General features: G+C 36.1%; 1 protein-coding gene and 1 long non-coding RNA gene across 18 annotated transcripts in view; one reads left to right on the top strand and one right to left on the bottom strand.

Moving 5' to 3' along the window:
• Positions 1–22335, bottom strand: part of CADM2 (cell adhesion molecule 2) — a 1115441-nt gene that overhangs the window by 247018 nt on the left and 846088 nt on the right. The window lies entirely within an intron of this gene.
• CADM2-AS2 (CADM2 antisense RNA 2) overlaps positions 1–22335 on the top strand; it is a 28064-nt gene that overhangs the window by 639 nt on the left and 5090 nt on the right. Inside the window, exon 2 of the long non-coding RNA NR_046752.1 lies at positions 21827–21958. This is a non-coding gene — a long non-coding RNA (CADM2 antisense RNA 2). The remainder of the gene's footprint in view (positions 1–21826; positions 21959–22335) is intronic.

The raw sequence follows: 22335 nt of genomic DNA, 5'->3' as shown, positions 1-22335 counted from the left end.
CAGTGTATATACATTACTACAAGCACCTGAAAAAGTAACAAAATGCATATTTTATAAAATGTATACGAATTTTGACAGCTATTATAATTTTCTACTGAGTTGCCACCTACTATAACATTTGAAAAGAGACTGCAATTTCTACAAGCACTGCTAGAGAGCTATCAAGATTTTATGGTCATATATTTTCATATTATGTTTTTCAAAAATGATTATTCCTTTACTTAAATGTTCAATTTTATTCATCTTAATGAAACCTAGTGTGATTTTCTTAATACCCTCTCTTTAAGGTCATTGAAAAAGGCAGTATTAATGGTGCTTTTCAGCATCCTTGATTCAGTTTCTAGCCTGCATATGTGACCATCCATTTTGGGGTCAATTTGGGTAACTTAGTAAAATTAGAATTTTCTACATAATTTCTGGATCACAAAGAACTCAACAGTTCCTAACTACATTTATCTTGTAATCAGAATGTAACAGCATTATATCTATTCTAACTTCCACTTGATTTGTAATTGCAGTGATATTTCTTCAAAAGTGATTGCTGTTTTCAAGTAGAGGCCCGATTCTGCAAATAGGTTAAACAGAGCTCTCCGTTTAACAAAAATAAAACTTTTAATATACATTTTGAGGTGGGCTAATAGTCTTTTTCATTAGGAAAAGGGAGCACACACTGAGAATATCTGTCTGCCATCTGAGTAATCAATGAACCAATATGGTTGTAAATCTTCCAGAAATTCCCCATGGTTAAATTCAAAGAAAAATGTTTATTCTTCTCCAACCCTTATCCTTCATTTCCCCACTATCATTTGCTAACGGTAGGGGGAATCTTTTCATCTTGCAAGTGAGAGAAAGAGGAAGTATTTCACACTTTCTCTTAACTTCTGCCTATTAAAACAATCTCTGTCATTTGCATCTATGCTAACCATAAAAAAAGTGATAAAAATTCATTTTAAGAAAAACAACTATAAAAACCCTACTACCAGGAAAATAATTCATTACTGTTATTTTAATGATTGAAATGTGAATGTCTGATTTGTCATTGTTTTAATGGAAGTTGAGTGCAAAGTAATGATTAAGGATAAGTGCATTTGTTCATTAAATAATACAGTGGGCAGCTTTACACAAAAATTAAAGAGTAACAGATGCCAGTAATTGCACATATGCCATGATTAACTCATTGGTATCGCAGAATGCTCCAAGTAAAGTGATTGATAATGTACTTGAAAAATATATAATAAATGAGTCATATCAGAATGATAAAGTTGTTTTAAAAATTATGCTGAATTTCTATAAAAGCATGTGATGATATAAAAGGTCAACAATTATACTGTCATGATACAATTACAAAACTAATCTCCTTGCTAGATTATTTTACTTTCAGAGATATTACTGAAATTGTAAAACATAACAATTATTAAATGAAATAGTTTATACTCAAAATTATTTTCAATACAATCTACATTTATGGAGAACAAAGAAAACATCTAAAAAGGATTAAAGCATTAACAGTAAGAATTCATCCCTGACCTAGTATTTGAAAACATTTATACACACAGCTCAGATGACAGGTACTAAAATCTCAGAATTCACCAATATATAATTCATCCATGTAAACAAAAAACATTTGTAACCCAAAAGCTACCGAAATTTTTAAAAAGTGGCTGTCATAACATTTTTAAAAAATCGGTACACAGTGACTAAAAAACAAAGTTAATTTAGAAAATATAAAATAAAATATGTATTCCAAATCCTACAGATAGCCCTTTAATATTATTCAGAGAATAATTTTGTTACTCATAGTGGCTATGTCAGATTCTGCCATTTTCATCCCCTGCACTCTATATGGGCTACACTATGTCTTGAGCAACTGATCCTTATGGAATGCATTTTCCCAGCACCCCTGTCCTCTGGCTTACAATTAGGTTCAGCCAAAGAAAGGCAATGGCAGCATATTGTAGGGTAGAAAAGTAAGGTGGAATACTTATTTGGGCTCTGGTAGTGGCTGCACGTTTTGATTACAGCTGAAGCCACATGCCATATCAGCCTTAGGGATAGTAAGTAATACCTCCTCACCTTTTCTGGTCCATGAGCTATTCATCTTTTGTTAGTTCCTTTAAGCCTTCCCACATCTTTGTAATATAGTATCTTCATTAAGCCCTCTAAACTTGAACCTTTTGATGGTGCCATGTGTTTTCTACTGTGATCTGACTACACACTCTCACGGTAATTGTACTTTAAATGCTTATCAGTTTTATGCTGTTCTCAGATGCTTAGATCAACTGTACCTCAATTTATATAATACATGCATTTGTGTATGCATATTATTATTTTTCAATATAAATTACTTTTCCTTTCCAAAATTCATTATTCTCTGTTTTTATCATTTTAACCCTTCTCCTCACATTTATCTCCTCCACCCGAAGTCCTTCATTCCATTTTGGGCATCACATTCACAGAGCTTTGAGAACTAAGTCATCATTGGTTATCATTAACCCCTACTCAAGTCTTCCCTGATTATACAATAAACCAGTTTATTGCCAATATAAATTTAAAAATTTTAGTTTTTTCACAGCTGCCTTTTATTTCCTTCTTCTCCACTTCTTAGTTTGCATCCTTACTGCTTCTCATATGAAGTACCTGACCTTGCTCCATACAGGATAGACTGCCACTCCACTCAGCAAGCAAATAAACACCCAGAAAGTGAAATGACATATGGGATGTACTTCTCATGCTTGGGGGCAATTTTAGGGACTTTTGAACAATTTAAACATTACAAGTGATTTTCCCTTTCCATGTGCTCTTTAGACTCAACCCACGAATGAAGAGACTCCACCCTGATTGCACACTTGGTTCTCTGTCTCACAAGTAGCTTTAATTCCTCAGAGACAACAGTGCCAGCTAGACCTCCCAGTGACAAAAGAGTCATACCTCTTTACCTCCATCACCTTTCACAGCACTTTGTGCACTGTGCACTCACCTTGAGTTTTTTTGTTTTTTCTTAAAAAAAAAATCTCTATCCATTTTATTTCCCACACAAGTTTACACTAAGTTTTCCATTTTAAGCTCCCATTTACTATCCATGACACAGCACTCTAAACCATGGATAAGCAAAGGCTATGAGTGACATCAGACTGCTTAGTATCCTTGCACCACCAAGGACATTGCAACTTAAGCAAATTACTAAGTTTCCCTCTGCTTCAATATTCTTGTATGTAAAATGTGCATAGCAGTATCTCCATTGTGAGTACAATATGAGTTAGTGCTTTTTAAGCATCCTCAAGTAAAATAAACTATCCACTATTTCTCCAGTACGTTTTGATTGGGTGAAAAACGTCCCAGAATAAAATTACAACAGCGAAATGCATAGAAAGCTTTTAGCACTGTCTCATACTGTAGTAACTTGTTCTGTCACCTTTTGAAGCAATCTCTAAATTCATCTCCTGTTTTGAGTTTTGTTTTGTTTTTTCTCTAATCTCGCGGATGGGCTGTAATTTTTCTGCCTATATATTGACCACTCTTTAACAATTTGTTAGTTTTTCTTGCAGGAGATACTCTATTATACTTACATACCTGTATCTTTATATATCAAAATGTTGACGCATAGCTATAAACAGACAGATAAATTTCTCTACAAGGTCATCCACTTTTTCAGTTCAGATACAGTCTGTTACTTATTCTCTTTGTACTATAGATTTGCTTAAAATGAAAAATAATTGTACAATGCAAATTAATAGCTCTCGTAAATTAAATGTCTGTGATAATATTTGATAGACACTTTGTGAAGATTATGGATAATCTTAACAACAACTCTGCAAAGTAGACATTATCTCTACTTTCCACATAACAGTGCTCCTCAAACTGCCAGTCCACAACAGTTTATTACTCACCAGCAAAGAGATAAATACACACATTGAGAAAAATGCTTAGAAATCAGTAATGTGGTTTGTGGTTTGTTTTTGTTTGTTTGTTTTCTAGAAGTAGATTGGCAAGCTACCATGGCAGGGAAATATTTTGATGTAGTCTGATTAAGGAGTTCATATAGACCATAAACCAAGGTACTGCTTCCTTCGTCAAGAAAACCTTAGTGCACAATAGAAGTATCAGCTAAATATCAGGGTTCTTAGCTATTTCGTAAAATTTGTGATTTATGTATGTAAAAGCTAATTCATTAAATACAAAATTGTTATATTTATTATGTAATAACATAGATGTTGATTATAGCACCTATACTGCATGTTGAGGCACCAAGTTTACACATGGAAAAATTCTTGAGAATATCTGAACAACAAAAAACTTTTATTTATACAAGATAAGAAACTAGCCCATTCCAAAGTTTTAAATATGTAGGTTGGACAGCCAGCCTTCACTTATCTTATATATTTGGTATCTTTAAAGATCTTTCTACTGATTGCAAGGAATGAATGCAACATGCTTTGCAATGGCAGGTAGGATCAAAGGACCAAGCAAAAGTTAGAAGCTTAGAATAATAGAGTTTCTACAATTATTTATGACATGGTTCATAAATTAAGTACAATAATCAGTGAAAAAGTGATGATCTTGATATCGCACATTTAGGAAAAGTTATCATAGACCATTTTAGAACACTGATAGAACATTTTGAATTTATATTTTGTCACATAAGATCCACATATGAAAATTCATGGATCCTGAGTTGATTTCTTTCATAAAAATGTATTTAACTATAACTTTATAGGATAAATACTGGAGCAGGCTACTAATGCAGGACTGATGATGAATTTTTGAAAATGTGGTAAAATTTGCCTTTTTTGGATACAATTTTATTTTATTTTATTTTATTTATTTATTTGAGATGGAGTTTCGCTCTGTCGCCTAGGCTGGAGTGCAGTAGCGTGATCTCAGATCATTGCAACCTTCGCCCCCCAGGTGCAAGCAATTCTTCTGCCTTAGCCTCCCAAGTAGCTGGGATTACAAGCATACATCACCATGCCTGGATAATTTTTGTATTTTTAGTAAAGACGGGGTTTCATCATGTTGGCCAGGCTGGTCTTGAACTCCTGACCTCAAGTGATCTGCCTGCCTCGGCCTCCCAAAGTGCTGGGTTTACAGGCATGAGCCACCGCACCTGGCCCTGGAAAAAATTGTAAAATAAATATCCTAAACTTGCTGAAATTGCTTCAAAATCTCTTCTTCCATTACTGCCAATGTATTTCTCTAAGATTCATTTCTCTGCTATAACTGATGTTAATACAAAGAATGGAAACAGTTCAGATTATACATTATTCCCAGCAAGAAATGCTGTAACCAATCCAAAGGGATTATATAAATTAATAAGCCACAACCAAGCATGTGCCACATTAAAATGTAAATATTTGATGTATATGATGTTCATTCTAAATATGCATATAGACATTTAATATGAAAAATTACTGTTTCTCTCATAACTTTGTGTTTAGTTCTAATTCCAGAATAACAAAAAATTATAAGCATAATAATTATCTATATTATTCCCAATATATCCACACTCAACAAATACATACATTTTTATTTTTTATGTTATATTTGCAGAACCTAATAATAAGCTGAAACTTGCATTTTGAATGCCTTATTATTTTGTTTTATAGTAATTCATTTTATTGTACATTACAAAAGCATTATTTGTGCTTGATATATAGAGAAAAATGGCCCTCAAAAATGATTTGAGAAGTACTGACAAAGTTCCATGAATAAGGTTAGTTTGTCATGATCACCATTGCAGCTCCACACCTAGACCTTGTTCAGAAAAATGCTTGTTGCATAGAAGATAAAACAGTTCCTGATACAGTCTGATGTATACAGAGTGTATACCCTAACTTCTTGTGTATGCAACAAAAACAAACAGCCCCCTTTCTTTCTAGTCCCAGGAAAAAAAGTAGATTAAGCTAAAGGAGGACTAGGATTTAGGGAGCATTTTGCTTTGGTTCTGGTTGTTTCCACTTTGTTTTCTTCAGTGATATGAATAAGAGTAGGAAGTGGGTGATATAGACTTAAAATAACTTGCAGGTGTTCTTAGAGGCTTCTGCAGATACCCAGGACAGATGAAGGATTGATGCCCTGCCCTCTGGTGGCCTAGAGGTAAATGCCATTCCCCTAGTAAGATTATTGATGTCTGATCCTGCCCTCCCTGTTCTTGCTAACTATCTTCCTGGAAAAGAGAGCAAAGCTTTCTTGTCTTGCTATCTGGGATTCTGAGGCTGAACAAGACAAGGTAAAGCATGCTTGAAGGAGAAAACTTCATCTCCAAAGGCAAGCGTGAGGAATCATATTGTATGCAGAGAACCACAATAGAATTATTTTTTTCTGGATTTGTATAATAAGGATAGGTACTCATCAAAGGATGATAATGAAAGTCAAAACTCTTGCAACTTGTAACTGCAGGACAAACAATAGCCAACGTAGTTTTATCGCTGCTTTTCAGAAGTAGAATTCTGCAAGTCAAATGTCACAATATTTGGAAAGCTCTTTTTGTAAACATTTTTAAAAATAAAAAGAGTATTTAAATTCATGATTCAAGTGCTGTCTCCCCCTCACCTCCTTAACCTGTGGTTACTGATGGATCCTAGAACTCAGTCCTTGGACTCCTTTTCCCTAGATCTTCTTAAGCCATCAAGCCTGATAATACATATCTACTCTGTATTTAAGATCTTTAACTTGCTTGTCTGTGGACTCCAGACTCATATACCCAATTGGCTATCATGTAATCTCCTCTTGTATGTTTAATAAGCTCAAAAGGACAAATCCAAACCTTCCCACAAAACAATCACCACCTTCACCTCCTGCAAGCTTCTCCATCTCAAGTTTGTTATTTCAAGTGTTCAAGTCAAAAGCCATGAAATCATCCATGACTCCTCTTTCACTCTTCAACCTCACATTCTTGCCATCAGCTGGTCCTATTTGCTCTACTTTCAAATACACAGAACATTCCATCTATTCTCATCATCCTCATTGCTAACTCTGATCCAAACCAACTTCATCTTTTGCTTGGATTAATGCAATAGCTCTCTAATTGGTCTCCCTGCTTCTGATCCTCTCTCCCTTCCCCATAGTCTACTTTTCTGATAACAGCCTGAGTGTTACTGTGAAAATGTTTATAGGATCATCTAACTCCCATGATCAACACTCTCTGCTCGTTTCTCATCTCAATCTGAGAAAAATTCAGAATTATTCTATGGCTGACAAGGCCCCTTTGATCACTCTCCTCATCCCACTACCTCTGCCTTCCTCTCCTCTATTCTTCTTATCCACTTTGGTCTGCTCACGCTGGCTGAGCTCTTCTTTCAACATGCTCAGAGTGTCTTTACTTCTGGCTGCTTCTCTGCTTGGCTCACTATCCTTCTAAAGGATGAGACATGACACTTCTACCTCTCTGTCCTTATATGAGTGTCTGCTGCAATGTCACCTTCATGAAGCTTTCTCTCACATTTATTTAAAATAGCTTTTCTTATCTCTCTTCCCCAAGTTTTGTTTCTTCACAGAATTTTGCACTCTCAGACAAACCATATGTTCACTCATTTATTTTGTTTATGATCAGTTTCTTCCCATCTGAGAGTAAGTTGCATGAAGGCAGAGTTTTGCCTGTTTTGTCCTCTGATAAATCTCAAGCGCCTAGAAAAACTGCAAAAAGCAGTTTAATAATTGTTACTGAATGAATAAATGAATCTTAATTACTGTCATGCATATAACATCAAACTGTAATGATATAGTGAATTAATATGACTATTAATTTCTTTTGAATTTGTAAACTTAGGATTCCACAGAAACTCAGAATTATAATTAATTTCCTTGATGACACCTTCTCTACCATAAATGGATGGTAGGGAGCTTTAAGATCTTTTAATAATGTAATCAATTGCATGACTACTCAAAATTAGACTAAAAATTGCTCCTAGTTTGAAAATCGGGAATTAGTTTTTTGTTGCTTAACTATATCACAAAGCCCAGTAAATTTCTTGCCTTAAAACTTTTCATATATATTCTGTGATGGTTAATATTAAGTGTCAACCTGATTGGATTGAAGGATGCAAATTATTGTTGTTTTCTGGGTGTGGCTGTGAGGGTGTTGCCAGAGGAGATTAACCTTTGAGTCAGTGGACTGGGAGAGGAAGACCCACTCTCAATGTGGGTGGGCACCATCCAATCCGCTGCCAGCACCAATAGAACAAAGCAGGCAGGAAAAGGTGGAAGAAGCTGGCTTGCTGAGTCTTCTGGCTTTCATCTTCTTCCCATGCGGAATGCTTCCTGCCCTTGAACATCGGACTCTAGGTTCTTTGACTTTCAGACCCTTGGACTTACACCAGTGGTTTGCCAGGGGTTCTGGGGCCTTTGGTCACAGACTGAAGGCTGCACTGTCAGCTTCCCTACTTTTGAGGCTTTGGGACTCAGACTGAGCCACTACTGGCTTCCTTGCTCCTCACCTTGCAGATGACCATCATGGGACTTCATCTGGTGATCATGTGAGTCAATTCTCCTTCATAAACTCCCTTTCACATATACGTCTATCCTATTAGTTCTGTTCCTCTGGAGAACCTTGATTAATATACATTCTTTCTCTGTTTTCTTAGCTCATGCTCTGTTCCAGGCCATCATGATGTCACACCTTAGCTGCTAAAATCATTTTTATCTTTCTTTCACCTCTCTTTCCTCAAAGCCTCTCTTTCTATAGCTGTTCAGATACTGATTTCCTTTTTTCAGTGTTCTAACTTTTAAAGAATTTATATTGTGATGAATGTGCTAAGATAAAAGATAATAGCTAGGGCTATTCAATGGCAGAAGCAAAATTATTTATAGATAATACAGAATCATTTAATGAGTTGATAAAGAAGTTACAAAACACTATTTGAACTACTGAGAGAGTATTTAGTGAGGAGGTAATAAACAAAATAGAAATGCACATTTTGGTTTGCTAGATACCCAGTCAACACACAGAAGGTAACAAAGTAAAAGTAGCTGCCAGTATAAGTAGCTGCCAGTGTCAAGCACCAGCGCTGGCTTCCCCCTCTCACTTTATGCTGCTGTTTGTCGCACAGACTCAGAGGCAGCCCTGCAGGTGGGAGAGCCTCTTTCATACATTTCTCACCAAAAGAGCCCACACTCAACATGAAAAGTAACAGAGTCAGGAAAGGAAGGAGTGAACTCTTCCTTGTCTCTTAAATTATTTCCCCCTCACTTAGGTCTTTCCCCCAAATCCTTTAGAGTAGCCATTGAATCTCCAAATTAGAAATCTCCGTTTCGTTGTTACCCTCAATGTAGTTACAGCACTAAGAACACAGGGTCTTTGCTTTATGTCTGATTGACTAAAAGGCCCAGTTCAGGTATTTGCCCACAACACAGCCATTTTTGTTCTAAAAGGAGTATATAAGATCTCAACTTCCTAGATAGAAACTGCTTAAGACCTTAAATGATAGGCTTATGATTTGTTTTGCTTTGAATTTTGTTTAATGTAACATTTATTTTCCAATGTTTCAAAAATCTCAAAACACATTCTGATAAGAGTTTCAGCCTACACACCGAGACATGAGATAAGGTGGCCTTTCAAAACTCATTGTCCTCAAGAAGGTTTTTTTGTTTGTTTATTTGTTTTTGAGAGGAAGTCTCGCTCTGTCGCCGACGCTGGAGTGCAGTGGTGCAGTCTCGGCTCACTGCAAGCTCCACTTCAAGAAGGTTTACAAGCTGGAACTGAGATTGGTTTATGCAATCAGTCAAGGTCGGTTCAAGATCACACACAAATCCACGATGGAACTGTGATTCAAGTGCAGCTATCCTGACTACCAAGTTTATAAATTTTGAACAACTAACTAATGTTTGCAGAAGGTCATGAGGTTAGATTTTAAGTTGCAAAGAAATAAATAAGTGACAAATAACTGATCATCATCCCCACAGGAGAACATTTTTATCAATACCCAGACAATATTTTTATCAAAATTCACTATTTAGAGATAGCCCATTCAATCTCACTGAGTGCAGTTTTCACCATTAAAAGAAGGGTGGACTATGTGTATTTGATGGGACTTTGAAAGTCCAAATGCAATATATTATGTATAGATTTGCACTGCTGCTATTCTTTCTAAACTACTACCCTTCTTTCTAAAATGTGAAAGTGAGTGATATGGAAAACTCAAAGCAATCACTCAGTATTTCACCTCCCTACTTTCCATTTGTACTTCAGTCCACTTGCTAGTCTCAACATTAAAAGGTGTAAAACCAGGAGACTTGATTCTTAAAAATACCCACACTTTGGTACTAAAATAACGCTACCTCCTACATTTCACCAGAGCTGCAAAATGCTTGCTTACTGCTGTTTCCAAGGGTGGCTCACAAGAGCCTGCAGGGAAATAATAAATCAGGAAATGTAGAATACCTAACCTAATTTGTAATTTTCATGCTCACACAATTTAAAATGGCACATTACAAATATTTATTTAGAAGTAGGTATTTCTAAATTGTATTATTTTGTATGAATAGTGAAGAAATATCTCCTGAAGAGAGGGTGAAAAAACATTTAGTATTTATAAATACAGAAAAATAACTGAAGAAAATCAAGTGAATACATTGAAAAGTAGCTAATATTATTTAACATATAACCACAATAAATTCATAATTTAATATTTTGTAATTAGTATTGCCTTAGCGAGTCGCTGTGTGTGTTTTTGTCCTTTTTCGTTTATATTTTTGTGTACTTCAGTCAATATTTCCAAGTTTACTTGTAAAAAAGCCTTTTGATATTAAAAGCTGTAGTATTTTGTATGGATGGCCATGTAATGATATTTGAAAAACGATATTTGAAAAATAGAGGTTTCTCATTCATTTTGTACTTGATGTTAAAATTATTTTCATAAAGTATCTATTCTATTAAAAGAAAATACCCTGCATAGAGTCTATACATCAAGACCATTTATTAGGATCATCATTGATTACAGACAATTTACACTGGAGACTGTACATTGTAGATTATAAATTATAGTTATTTCCTGGCTCAGGGTACACACACTCCTGCCTATAACTCAAAGCACAGTAGAGGCACCTATTATAAGCTGAACCAATCTATTTCTCTCTCCTGGAATGTTGAAACTGGAACAGTAAAATACAGTGGCCTCTAAGTTTTTAAGTATAATAACCTTTAGGTTGGTGCTCTAGAGCTAAGTTTACACCTGCCTCAAACTAAAAAAAGGAAAAAAAAAAAAGCTCCATTTCCAAAATACAGATTCACTATGGGGGAGGGCATCACTCTATAAAAGTCTGATGCAAATTATTAAGAAAAACACAGAACAGGAAAAACGGTAAAAGTTAAACAGTAAACTTTAAATAATACATCTTATCAAAAATATATTTTGTTGGTATGGGTCAAAATTATGTGCTTACAAATAGAATTGAATTTGCCTGTTATACACAAGTAGTTTTTTGATATTGTTAAGATTTTCTTTTACATACTAAGGAATTATAGTAATAATGCTATTTTGAAATTTACTTTAAGAATATTAGAATATTTTGTATCCTGAACTTTGCTAAAGTTGCTTATCAGCTTAAGGAGATTTCAGGCTGAGATGATGAGGTTTTCTAAATATACAATCATGTCATCTGCAAACAGAGACAATTTGACTCCCTCTTTTCCTAACTGAATACCCTTTATGTCTTTCTCTTGCCTCATTGTCCGGGCCAGAACTTCCAGTACTATGTTGAATAGGAGTGGTGAGAGAGGCCAACCTTGTCTTGCACCGGTTTTCAAAGGGAATGCTTCCAGCTTCTGCCCATTCAGTATGACATTGGCTGTGGGTTTGTCATAAATAGCTCTTATTATTTTGAGATATGTTCTATCAATACATAGTTTATTGAAATTTTTTAGCATGAAGAGCTGTTGAATTTTGTCAAAGACCTTTTTTGCATCTATTGAGATAATCATGTGGTTTTTGTCTTGGGTTCTGTTTATGAGTTGGATTACATTTAGTGATTTGTGTATGTTGAACCAGCCTTGCATCCCAAGTATGAAGCCGACTTGATCATGGTGGATAAGCTTTTTGATGTGCTGCTGGATACAGTTTGCCAGTATTTTATTGAGGATTTTCGCATCGATGTTCATCAGGGATATTGGCCTGAAATTTTCCTTTTTTGCTGTGTCTCTGCCAGGTTTTGGTATCAGGATGATGCTGGCCTCATAAAAGGAGTTAGGGAGGATTCCCTCTTTTTCTATTGTTTGGAATACTTTCAGAAGGAATGGTACCAGCTCCTTTTTGTACCCCTTGTAGAATTCGGCTGTGAATCCGTCTGGTTCTGGACTTTTTCAGTTTGTAGGCTATCCATTACTGCCTCAATTTCACAAATTGTTATTGGTCTATTCAGGGATTCGACTTCTTCCTGGTTTAGACTTGGGAGGGTGTATGTGTCCAGGAATTTATCGATTTCTCCTAGGTTTTCTAGTTTATTTGCATAGAGGTGTTTATAGTATTCTCTGATGGTAGTTTGTATTTCTATAGTATTCTATAGAATATTCTATATACCTGCATAGGTAGAATATTCTATATTCTATAGAATACTATAGAATAGAAGTTTGTATAGAAGTATTTTATAGTATATTCTATATTCTATAGAACACTATAGGATATAAATTTGAATAGAATACTATAGAATAGAATATACTATAGAATTCTATAGAACTACCATTTCTATAGTATTCTCTGATGTTAGATGGTATTTATGTGGGATCAGTGGTGATATTTCCTATATCATTTTTTATTGTGTCTATTTGATTCTTCTCTCTTTTCTTCTTTATTAGTCTGGCTAGCAGTCTATCTGTTTTGTTGATCATTTCAAAAAACCAGATCCTGGATTCATTGATTTTTTGAAGGGTTTTTGTGTCTCTATCTCCTTCAGTTCTGCTCTGATCTTAGTTCTTTTTTGTCTTCTGCTAGTTTTTGAATTTGTTTGCTATTGCTTCTCTAGTTCTTTGAATTTTTATGTTAGGGTGTCAATTTTAGATCTTTCCTGCTTTCTCTTGTGGGCATTTAGTGCAAAATCAATGTGTGAAAATCACAAGCATTCCTATACATCAATAACATACAAACAGAGACCAAATCATGAGTGAACTCCCATTCACAATTGCTACTAAGAAAATAAAATAACTAGGAATAAAACATATAAGGTATATGAAGGACCTCTTCAAGGAGAACTACAAATCACTGCTCAAGGAAATAAGAGAGGACACAAACAAATGAAAAAACATTCCATGCTCATGGATAGGAAGAATCAATATGGAGAAAATGGCCATAATGCCCAAAGTAATTTTATAGATTCAATGCTATCCCCATCAACCTACCACTGACTTTCTTCACAGAATTAGAAAAAAAAATTCTTTAAACTTCATATGGAACCAAAAAAGAGCCCGCATAGCCAAGGCAATCCTAAGTAACAAGAACAAAGCTGGAGGCATCACACTACCTGACTTCAAACTATATTACAAGGCTACAGTAACCAATACAGCATGGTAGTAGTACCAAAACAGATATACAGACCAATGGAACAGAACAGAGGCCTCAGAGATAACACCACATATCCACAACCATCTGATCTTTGACACACCTGACACAAACAAGCAATGGGGAAACGATTCCATATTTAATAAATGGTGTTGGGAAAACTGACTAGCCATATACAGAAAACTGAAACTGGACCCCTTCCCTACACCTTATACAAAAAACAACTCAAGATGAATTAAATGCTTAAATGTAAGACCTAAAATCGTAAAAACCCTAGAAGATAACCTGAACAATACCATTCAGGACACACTGCGTGAGCAAAGACTTCATGTGTAAAACACAAAAACAATGGCAACAAAAGCCAAAATTGACAAAGGGGATCTAATTAAACTAAAGAACTTCTGCACAGCAAAAGAAACTATAATCACGCAACCTACAGAATGGTAGGAAATTTTTGCAATCTGTCCTTCTGACAAAGGGCTAATATCCAGAATCTAAAAAAACTTAAACAAATTTATAAGAAAAAAACAAACAACCCCATCAAAAAGTGGGCAAAGCATATAAACAGACACTTCTCAAAAGAAGACATTTATGCAGCCAACAAACATGAAAAAAAGCTTATCATCACTGGTCATTAGAGAAATGCAAATCAAAACCACAGTGAGATACCATCACACACCAGTTAGAATGGCAATCATTCAAAAGTCAGAAAACAACAGATGCTGGAGAGGATGTGGAGAAATAGGAATGCTTTTACACTGTTGGTGGGAGGGTAAATTAGTTCAACCATTGTGGAAGACAGTGTGGTGATTCCTCAAGGATCTAGAACTAGAAATACCATTGGACCTAGCAATCCCATTACTGAGTATATACCCAAAGGATTATAAATTATTCTACTATAAAGACACATGCACACATATGTTTATTGCAGCACTATTCACAGTAGCAAAGACTTGGAACCAACCCGAATGTCCATCAATGATAGACTGGATAAAGAAAATGTGGTACATATACACCATGGAATACTATGAAGCGATAAAGAAGGATGAGTTCATATTGTTTGCAGGGACATGGATGAAACTGGAAACCATCATTTTCACCAAATTGTCACAAGAACGGAAAACCAAACACCACATGTTCTCACTCATAAGTGGTAGTTGAACAAGGAGAACACATGGACACAGGGAGGGGAACATCACACACTGAGGCCTGTCAGGGTGTGGGGGTATAGGGGAGGGATAACATTAGTAGAAATACTTAATGTAGGTGATGGGTTGATGTGTGCAGCAAACCACCATGGCATGTGTATAGCTATGTAACAAAACTGCATGTTCTGCACATATGCCCCAGAACCTAAAGTAAAATAATAAAAAATAAAAATTAAAAAATTAAAAAGAGAATGTTAGAATATCTTAAATTATCATGATGCCTGTGCTGATCCTGATTAAAAGTCTATTCAACATGGAGACACTATGTCACCAGAAATCAGTATGTCACCAAGAAATTAGGCCCCGGTGCAGTACATTGTTACTCTTTATATTTGACAAATGGTACATAGTTCAGTTATAATTACTTTAAAGGAATTCACTTTATCAAAAAAGCCTGTTTTCAGTCATGAATATTTTCAAGTCGAATTATTTTTTTTCTAGACTCATGAAGGATAATTTTATCGATTACTTACTCATTTTGCATCTCCTGGAATAGTTTATTATGCAACAAGTAGAATTACAGTTACCTACCTGCAGATTGCTTGACTTAATAATTTCCCTTGCCCTGTATCCCTTCCACCACACCCATATATAGATGGTACCTGACAACTTGACACTTGATGCCAAAATCCATATTTTATTTATTTTAGTATTCTCAATGCCCAGCATAATTCCCAGGGCATAGCAATATTTTATAGATATCCATACAGTTGAACTGAAATTGTGACTTGGAAATCTTTCAACTATCAAATATGCTTAGATGTGCACAGATTGACACTTGTTTAGTGAAGCCTGCCTTCCTTAAAAGCTACTAATGCTCAAAATGGGGAATCTAAAGTATCACAAAAAAAAAAAAAAAAAACATCAAGGCATTTTCCAGGAAACTGGTCACTCTTTGCATTGTTTATTCCTTTGTTTTGAGAGAGGAAAATATATACACAATGGTGGTGACTATCTACTCAGTCTGAGTCTAGCCAGTTCATCATCCCACTTCTACTGCCACAACCGTCTAAAATGATACTCCTAGATGATTTAAAGTCATTGCAATCATTGTTGACCATGTGCTAATTCTGTATGTTTTGCCAACTTATAAATGTACTTACAAAATATGTACCCAGAAACACACATGATTAAAAGATAATGGAACCCAAATTTTCATCAGAACAAGTTTTCTTTCAAGCTGCTCTATTCAACATGAAATAGGCTTCTCAAATATCAGTGAGCTGCGATAACTGCAAACAACCTGGCACAGTGCCCATCACACAGTAGATGATCAGCAAATATTTGTTGAATGATAAAATAATACATAAATTAATCATTAGAAGGTAGAATAAAACTGTTCAGTGTTTGTTAAAATAATTTTTCTTTTAGTAGGGTTTTAGTAAAATATATGTTTACAAACAACAATGGCCAATAACTTTTAAAAGGACTTAATTCAAGAATTTGGTCATTTTTACCTGGTCATCAGCACTTATTTGTAGAAAATGTCACTTTGATTTCAAAAAACATTGCAGAAAGTATTATCAAAAGTAGGCATATAATTTCCCTAAAATATAATATCAAATATGGAAATTATCCTGATTTTGATGTCCAAAAATTAAAATTTGTGGAAACAATTTAGGCATGCATATGTTGCTTTGAATGTCAACATTTCAGTCTTGATGCTTACAGCTTAACATGTTGTTATTCATGTAACTGCCAAAATTTATAGCATATATTATCATTATTTAAAATTGCTGGACTCAAAATGCACAGGCCTAAAGAAGTAAATGTAGTAATTATACAATCCACAACCGAAGATTTTCTTTATGTTTAAAGAATTGCCAATAATGGCTTCATCTTCAGCAAAAGTAGAAGTAAATTCTTTAAGAAGGCTATGAGGCCAGGCATGGTGGTTCACGCCTGTAATCCCAGCACTTGGGGAGGCTGAGGCAGGCGGATCTCTTGAGGTCAGGAGTTCGAGACCAGCGTGGTCAACATGGTGAAACCTCTTCTCTACTAAAAATACAAAAATTAGCCAGGTATGGTGGTGCACATGTATAGTTCCAGCTACTGGGGAGGCTGAGGCAGGAGAATCACCTGAACCTGGGAAGCAGAGGTTGCAGTGAGCCAACACAGCACCACTGCACTCCAGCCTGGGTGACGAAGTGAGACTTAGTCTCCAAAAAAAAAAAAAAAAAAAAAAAACAGAATTCTATGAGCATATACTTTAACATATGTATTAAATATCTTCCCAGAGAAGCAATGCAACTGAAGGTAGTTGCAAGCATAAGCATAAAATAACCCAAGATTTTCAATGGAATTATCTTAACTGAAAATTGGGTATGTAGAAATCTCTGTGTATGCATGATATGCTATACTCTTTCCTTTCTGTTCATCTTCCAGATCCACACTCTTTACCTTAGAAGACTAAGCTACTCAGGATCCCTTGACCTATGGTTTTCATCTGGGATCAGCCCAGAAGGAATTGACAAGAGAACAGAGGTTGGGAGAAAAGAGATGTCAATTTACATATTTTCATACATCTATCCCTTCTCAGCCAGTCATAGCTCTTAACCAGAAGCCTTCTCCCATAACTGTAACTTTAGTTAATTTTATTTCTCTTACAGACACCAAAGTAGGATGTTCTCCTACTGTCGCTACTTTCTGGGTGTGCATCATTTTGGCTAGTTTCCTTAATTATGCCTGTATCTGTATTATTGGCCCATTTATTCTTCTTTAACTGCAATGTACCATTTAATTCCTAAGGGGAACACGATTCAATATGCATGCACTTGCTAGGAAATTTACTAATACATATGAGAATATTGTGGTGTGGTAGGGTTTAAATATGAGATAAGATGTTTTGAAGAGATCAATCAGAAAGAGTGACTTTGAAATACAGAACCAGAAACTATAATTCCCACAGAAAGAAAGAAAGAAAGAAAGAGAGAGAGAGAGAGAGAGAGAGAGAGAGGGAGGGAGGGAGGGAGAGAGGAGGGAGGGAGGGAGGGAAGGAACGAAGGAAGGAAGGAAGGAAGGAAGGAAGGAAGGAAGGAAGGAAGGAAGGAAGGAAGGAAGGGAGAAAATGTTTCATTTTTCAGCATAATGAAACACAAAGTGAATTAGACTTGTCGTAAGAAAACTCAAGTTTCCCTTTTTTTATGAGACAGGGTCTTTCTGTGTTGCCCAGGCTATATTGGTTCACTGCAACCTCTGCCTCCTGGGTTCAAGCAATTCTCTTGCTTCAGACTCCCGAGTAGCTGGGATTACAGGTGCATGCCACCACACCCAGCTAATTTTTGTATTTTTAGTGGAGATGGGGTTTCACCATGTTGGCCAGGCTTGTCTCAAACTCCTGACCTCAAGTGGTCCACCCGCCTCAACCTCCCAAAGTGCTGGGATTACAGGTGTGAGCCACCTCACCTGGCCAGAAAACTCAAGTCTCTTCATTGCTTTGTCATTTACTACTCAAGTTATTTAAATATGTAAACCTCAGTGTCTTTACATATAAAATAGGAATGCCTACTGTATAGTATTGTTGAGAACTCAAAGACAAAAGGTAAACATGCTGAAAGTTATCTAATAACTTTACTGTATAACTATAAGCTATCATTATTAATTTCACATTTTTATTGTACAGATATATAATAGCTGCATTTTTAAAAGAAAACAAAAGAAGGGTAATAGTAGCCAAATGCAACACCTGTTTTACTCAGTTAATCTTTAATAAAGCCTGTCAAATTGATTGATAGCAGTTGTGGAGATATACAGTCAGGTGGCATGGATTGGCATAGAGCCAGGAGAACCTGTACCTCCAATTCTGGTTCATCTCATTTTTCTTCTCTTTATCGGTCTTAGTTTTAGGACAATTTACTCATGTTTTTCCTCTTCCATTGTTCCCAGTATTAGTGTAAAATTATTAGAATAATTGGCTAATTAACACCAATGATTTAAAGCTATGTCTTTAATAAATTTTTATTTTGATTTCTTTAGGAAATTTTTAAGGATTATTAAAAAAATTTAAAAGTTGAAATATTGAGAAGAAAATCACAAAAAAGTCATGTATTTTACATTTTTATATAAAAACACATACAAGCTCACAGAGATGTATCTGTTGAATGTGTGTGTTATGGGCTCCTGGAGATGCTTGTTCAAAGTATTTTTGTCAATAATAGGAAGGAATTGAAGTGTTCTTTCCTGAGCATTAACTGATCAGATTGTGCTACTTCAATTGTTTTTTTCCTTCTGCACCTGCAGAGAAACAGACACTACGATCTAATTGATTTTTTTTTCCATTGCCAATACCACACAGCATTTATGTGGTGTTTCAATGACCTCTACTCCCCACTTGCTCTGTCTCCCTATACCCACTCTATTCCAAATGCTTATCAACTATTTATAACAGAGGTGCTAAGATTTATGTAAAAAGAAAGAGAAGAGGATTATAACAAGTGAATGTTGCCTTAGCTACATCTATTCTAGGTCTCTCTGACCCATAAGGATCTATAAATTTTCCTCTTGATTCTTATTTTCTATTTAGTTTTTGCAGATTCTTAAGTATTATAGAAAAAGACTTCATACTTAGGCTGTACAGAAATGAAGTGGAATTGTAATTGAATTTCGACTTTGTAGGCTAATGATTTCTGATTTTTGGGTGCACACAAGGCAGACAGGGAACTCGTTAAAATACAATTCTGGTCCAACCACCAGTAATGGGGTGTCAATGAACACCTTTTATTACCCTGCTGGCTGGTGTCAAAGGCAGAATTTAAATTCAGATCTGACTCTCTGTCTCCTGTGCCACAATGTCCCCCTGAAAGCTGTACAATTTAAATGGTAAAAAAAAATCATTTATTGAATATTTGATGCATGTTTTTATGATAGCCTAAGGGTTTTCTCAGTTAAAAATAACATATTCTACTAGCCAAGGCTGGAACTGGACAAGGTATATTATGACATCTGATGAGTGAATCAGCATCTAGAATTGTGCTTTCCAAAACAGTAAGTGCTGGGCATGGGAGGATATTGAGTACTTGAAATATGTCTAGTGTGGCAGAAACCAAATTTTTAAATTTTACTCTATTTTTATTAATTTAAATTTAAATATCTACACATGACAACTGAATTGTTCAGCTCAGCCCAGATATGGAATATTCCCATCATCATGGAATGTTCTCGTGGACAATGCTGATTATAATATATTCTTCTGTCTTTTTGTCTTTTTTTTTTTTTTTTTTTGAGACGGAGTTTCACTCTCGATGCCTAGGCTGGAGAGCAATGGTACAATCTCAGTTCACTGCAACCTCTGCCTCCACAGCTCAAGTGATTCTCCTGCCTCAGTCTCCCAAGTAGCTGGGGTTATTGGCATCCGCCACCATGCCCAGATAATTTTTGTATTTTTAGTAGAGATGGTTTTTCGTCACGTTGGCCAGGCTGGTCTCAAACTCCTGACCTCAGGTGATCCGCCTGCCACAGCCTCCCAAAGTGCTGGGATTACAGGTGTGAGCTACCATGCCTGGCCCTTCTGTCTTAATCTATGTATATCTTCAATAGTTTGAAATGACATGCTGCTCTTTAACAAAAGTAAGCTGCCAAGATCAATGGCAGAGGCTGCCCAGGTTACATTTAAAATGACATGGCGTCCAAATGCCATTGCTTTCAGGAATATTTCAGTTAAAATCAAGGCAAAAGCTACACCTGGATTCAAAGTTCTTCACTACCAGACATTAGCTGAATGTCTGTGAAGAAATATCCTTGATTGTTAGGTCTTATTTTTTCCATTTATCAATGGACACAAGCTACTGATCACATTAAACATGGCAAAAAAGTTGTAAAAGCTTGAATTTGCTGCCTTCGTCTTTATTTTACCTCAGTGAGAAATATGACAGTATTAGATTCACCTTAGCCAATTCCCCCACTAGACTCCTATCTCCCCGGGGAAGAGATTCCCGAATATTCACTTTTTGTTTGTTTTGTTTGTTTGTTTTGTTTTGTTTTGTTTTTGAGACAGAGCCTCACTCTATCACCCAGGCTGGAGTGCAGTAGCGCGATCTCAGCTCACTGCAACCTCCGGTTCCTGGGTTCAAGCAATGCTCATGCCTCAGCCTCCCAAGTGGCTAGGATTACATGAATATTCACATTTAAAGTCACTGACAGAGACCCCTAGGAAAGGGGGTTCAGCCTAATTCTCCTTTACTTGATTCAACTGACCACTCACAGCATGTTTTTATTCAGTTAATAAATTCATGTAAACAAGGCTTTTCCAACTCTAACATGACATGTGGGCTGCCATCCTGAATTTCTCGTTCATAGCCAGGACCCTTGGAAACTTACACCTCCAGGTAGCATGAAATGCTACGGGATGCCTCTCGGAGCTCATAGTAGCAGTAGTAATGGTTGTGAGGCAGTGATCAGCACTTGTTCTTTTTCTGAGCAGTTTGTCCTTCCTCCCTCCCTCCCTTCCATTCTTTTCTTCCTTCCATGCTCAGTAACATTTATCAATACAGAAATCCTTCCTTCCTTCCTTCCTTCTTTCCTTCCTTCCTTCCTCCCTCCCTCCCTCCCTCCCTCGCTTCTTTTCTTCCTTCCATGCTCAGTAACATTTATCAATACAGAAATCCAAGCTCAGGGATGCAGAACTCTTCAGAGAGTTGACTTGCCTAAACCCAAGTGTCTCAATCACAGCTGCATTTTCTAATCATTTGAGATATAATTAAAATATTCTGATACTGCATACCGCTGGAAGACTGTGTTTGAAAATCCCCTAAGTGATTTTACTGTGTAGCTACGGCTAAGAACCACTGGAAGCACAATCTGAGACAGAAAGAAGAGTGAGGCTATAGATGAAGCTTTAACAGTAGCAGCCACCTGCAGGAGATGGTATAATCAATGACACAGACAACCCATTCCTTCCCTTTTCTCTCTTGCTCTCATGTGCAGTCTTCACTAGTAAAACAAGTATGCGTTACTCTAGTCTAACTCATGCTCACCTTCTTCACTTAGGCTCTGGTACAACTTGGAATGCTTGCTTGCTCAAGACAAGCCTTAAAATTGGTGAGAGTTAGGTAATTGCAGATTAAAAGATGATGTGTGGAAAATTGTAATATGGAATCTTTTAAAATGCTTTCAATTTCAAACTCTTGCATTTGATAGGTATTACTGTCCAAGAATCCCTTCAACTAAGATATCACATAGAAATTGAACCACTCTTGGGAACAGATAGTGAGGACGAGAAAAGAAAAAAAAAGAAGAAGGAAATTGAAGCACTGACATATGAGGGAATAGGTATGTTAGATTGCCAAAGGATTTCTTTCTTCAATGCTCTCTGTTGTTTTACTGCAACTGACGTTTAGAACCACAATAGAGTTAGAAAAAGCATAGTATCAAAAACAGAAACCTATCATACTACAAACACAAACACATACATAGGCTTTTCTCCAATCTAACTAAGCTATTACAGCATCTGGGAACGGAAAATTAAGTAAAGTCAGTCCTGGCCCGGCACGGTGGCTCATGCCTGTAATCCCAGAACTTTGAGAGGCCAAGGCAGGAGGATTGCTTGAGCTCAGGAGTTGCAGCCTAGCCTGGATAACATGGTGAAACCCAGTCTACACAAAAAATACAAAAAAAATTAGCTGGGCATGGTGGCACATGCCTGTACT

This window comes from Homo sapiens, chromosome 3, assembly GCF_000001405.40.
Source record: "Homo sapiens chromosome 3, GRCh38.p14 Primary Assembly".
In the NCBI taxonomy this organism is placed as follows: domain Eukaryota; kingdom Metazoa; phylum Chordata; class Mammalia; order Primates; family Hominidae; genus Homo; species Homo sapiens.
Note: the sequence above shows the minus strand (reverse complement) of the source record. Positions and strands in the feature narration are given on the sequence as shown.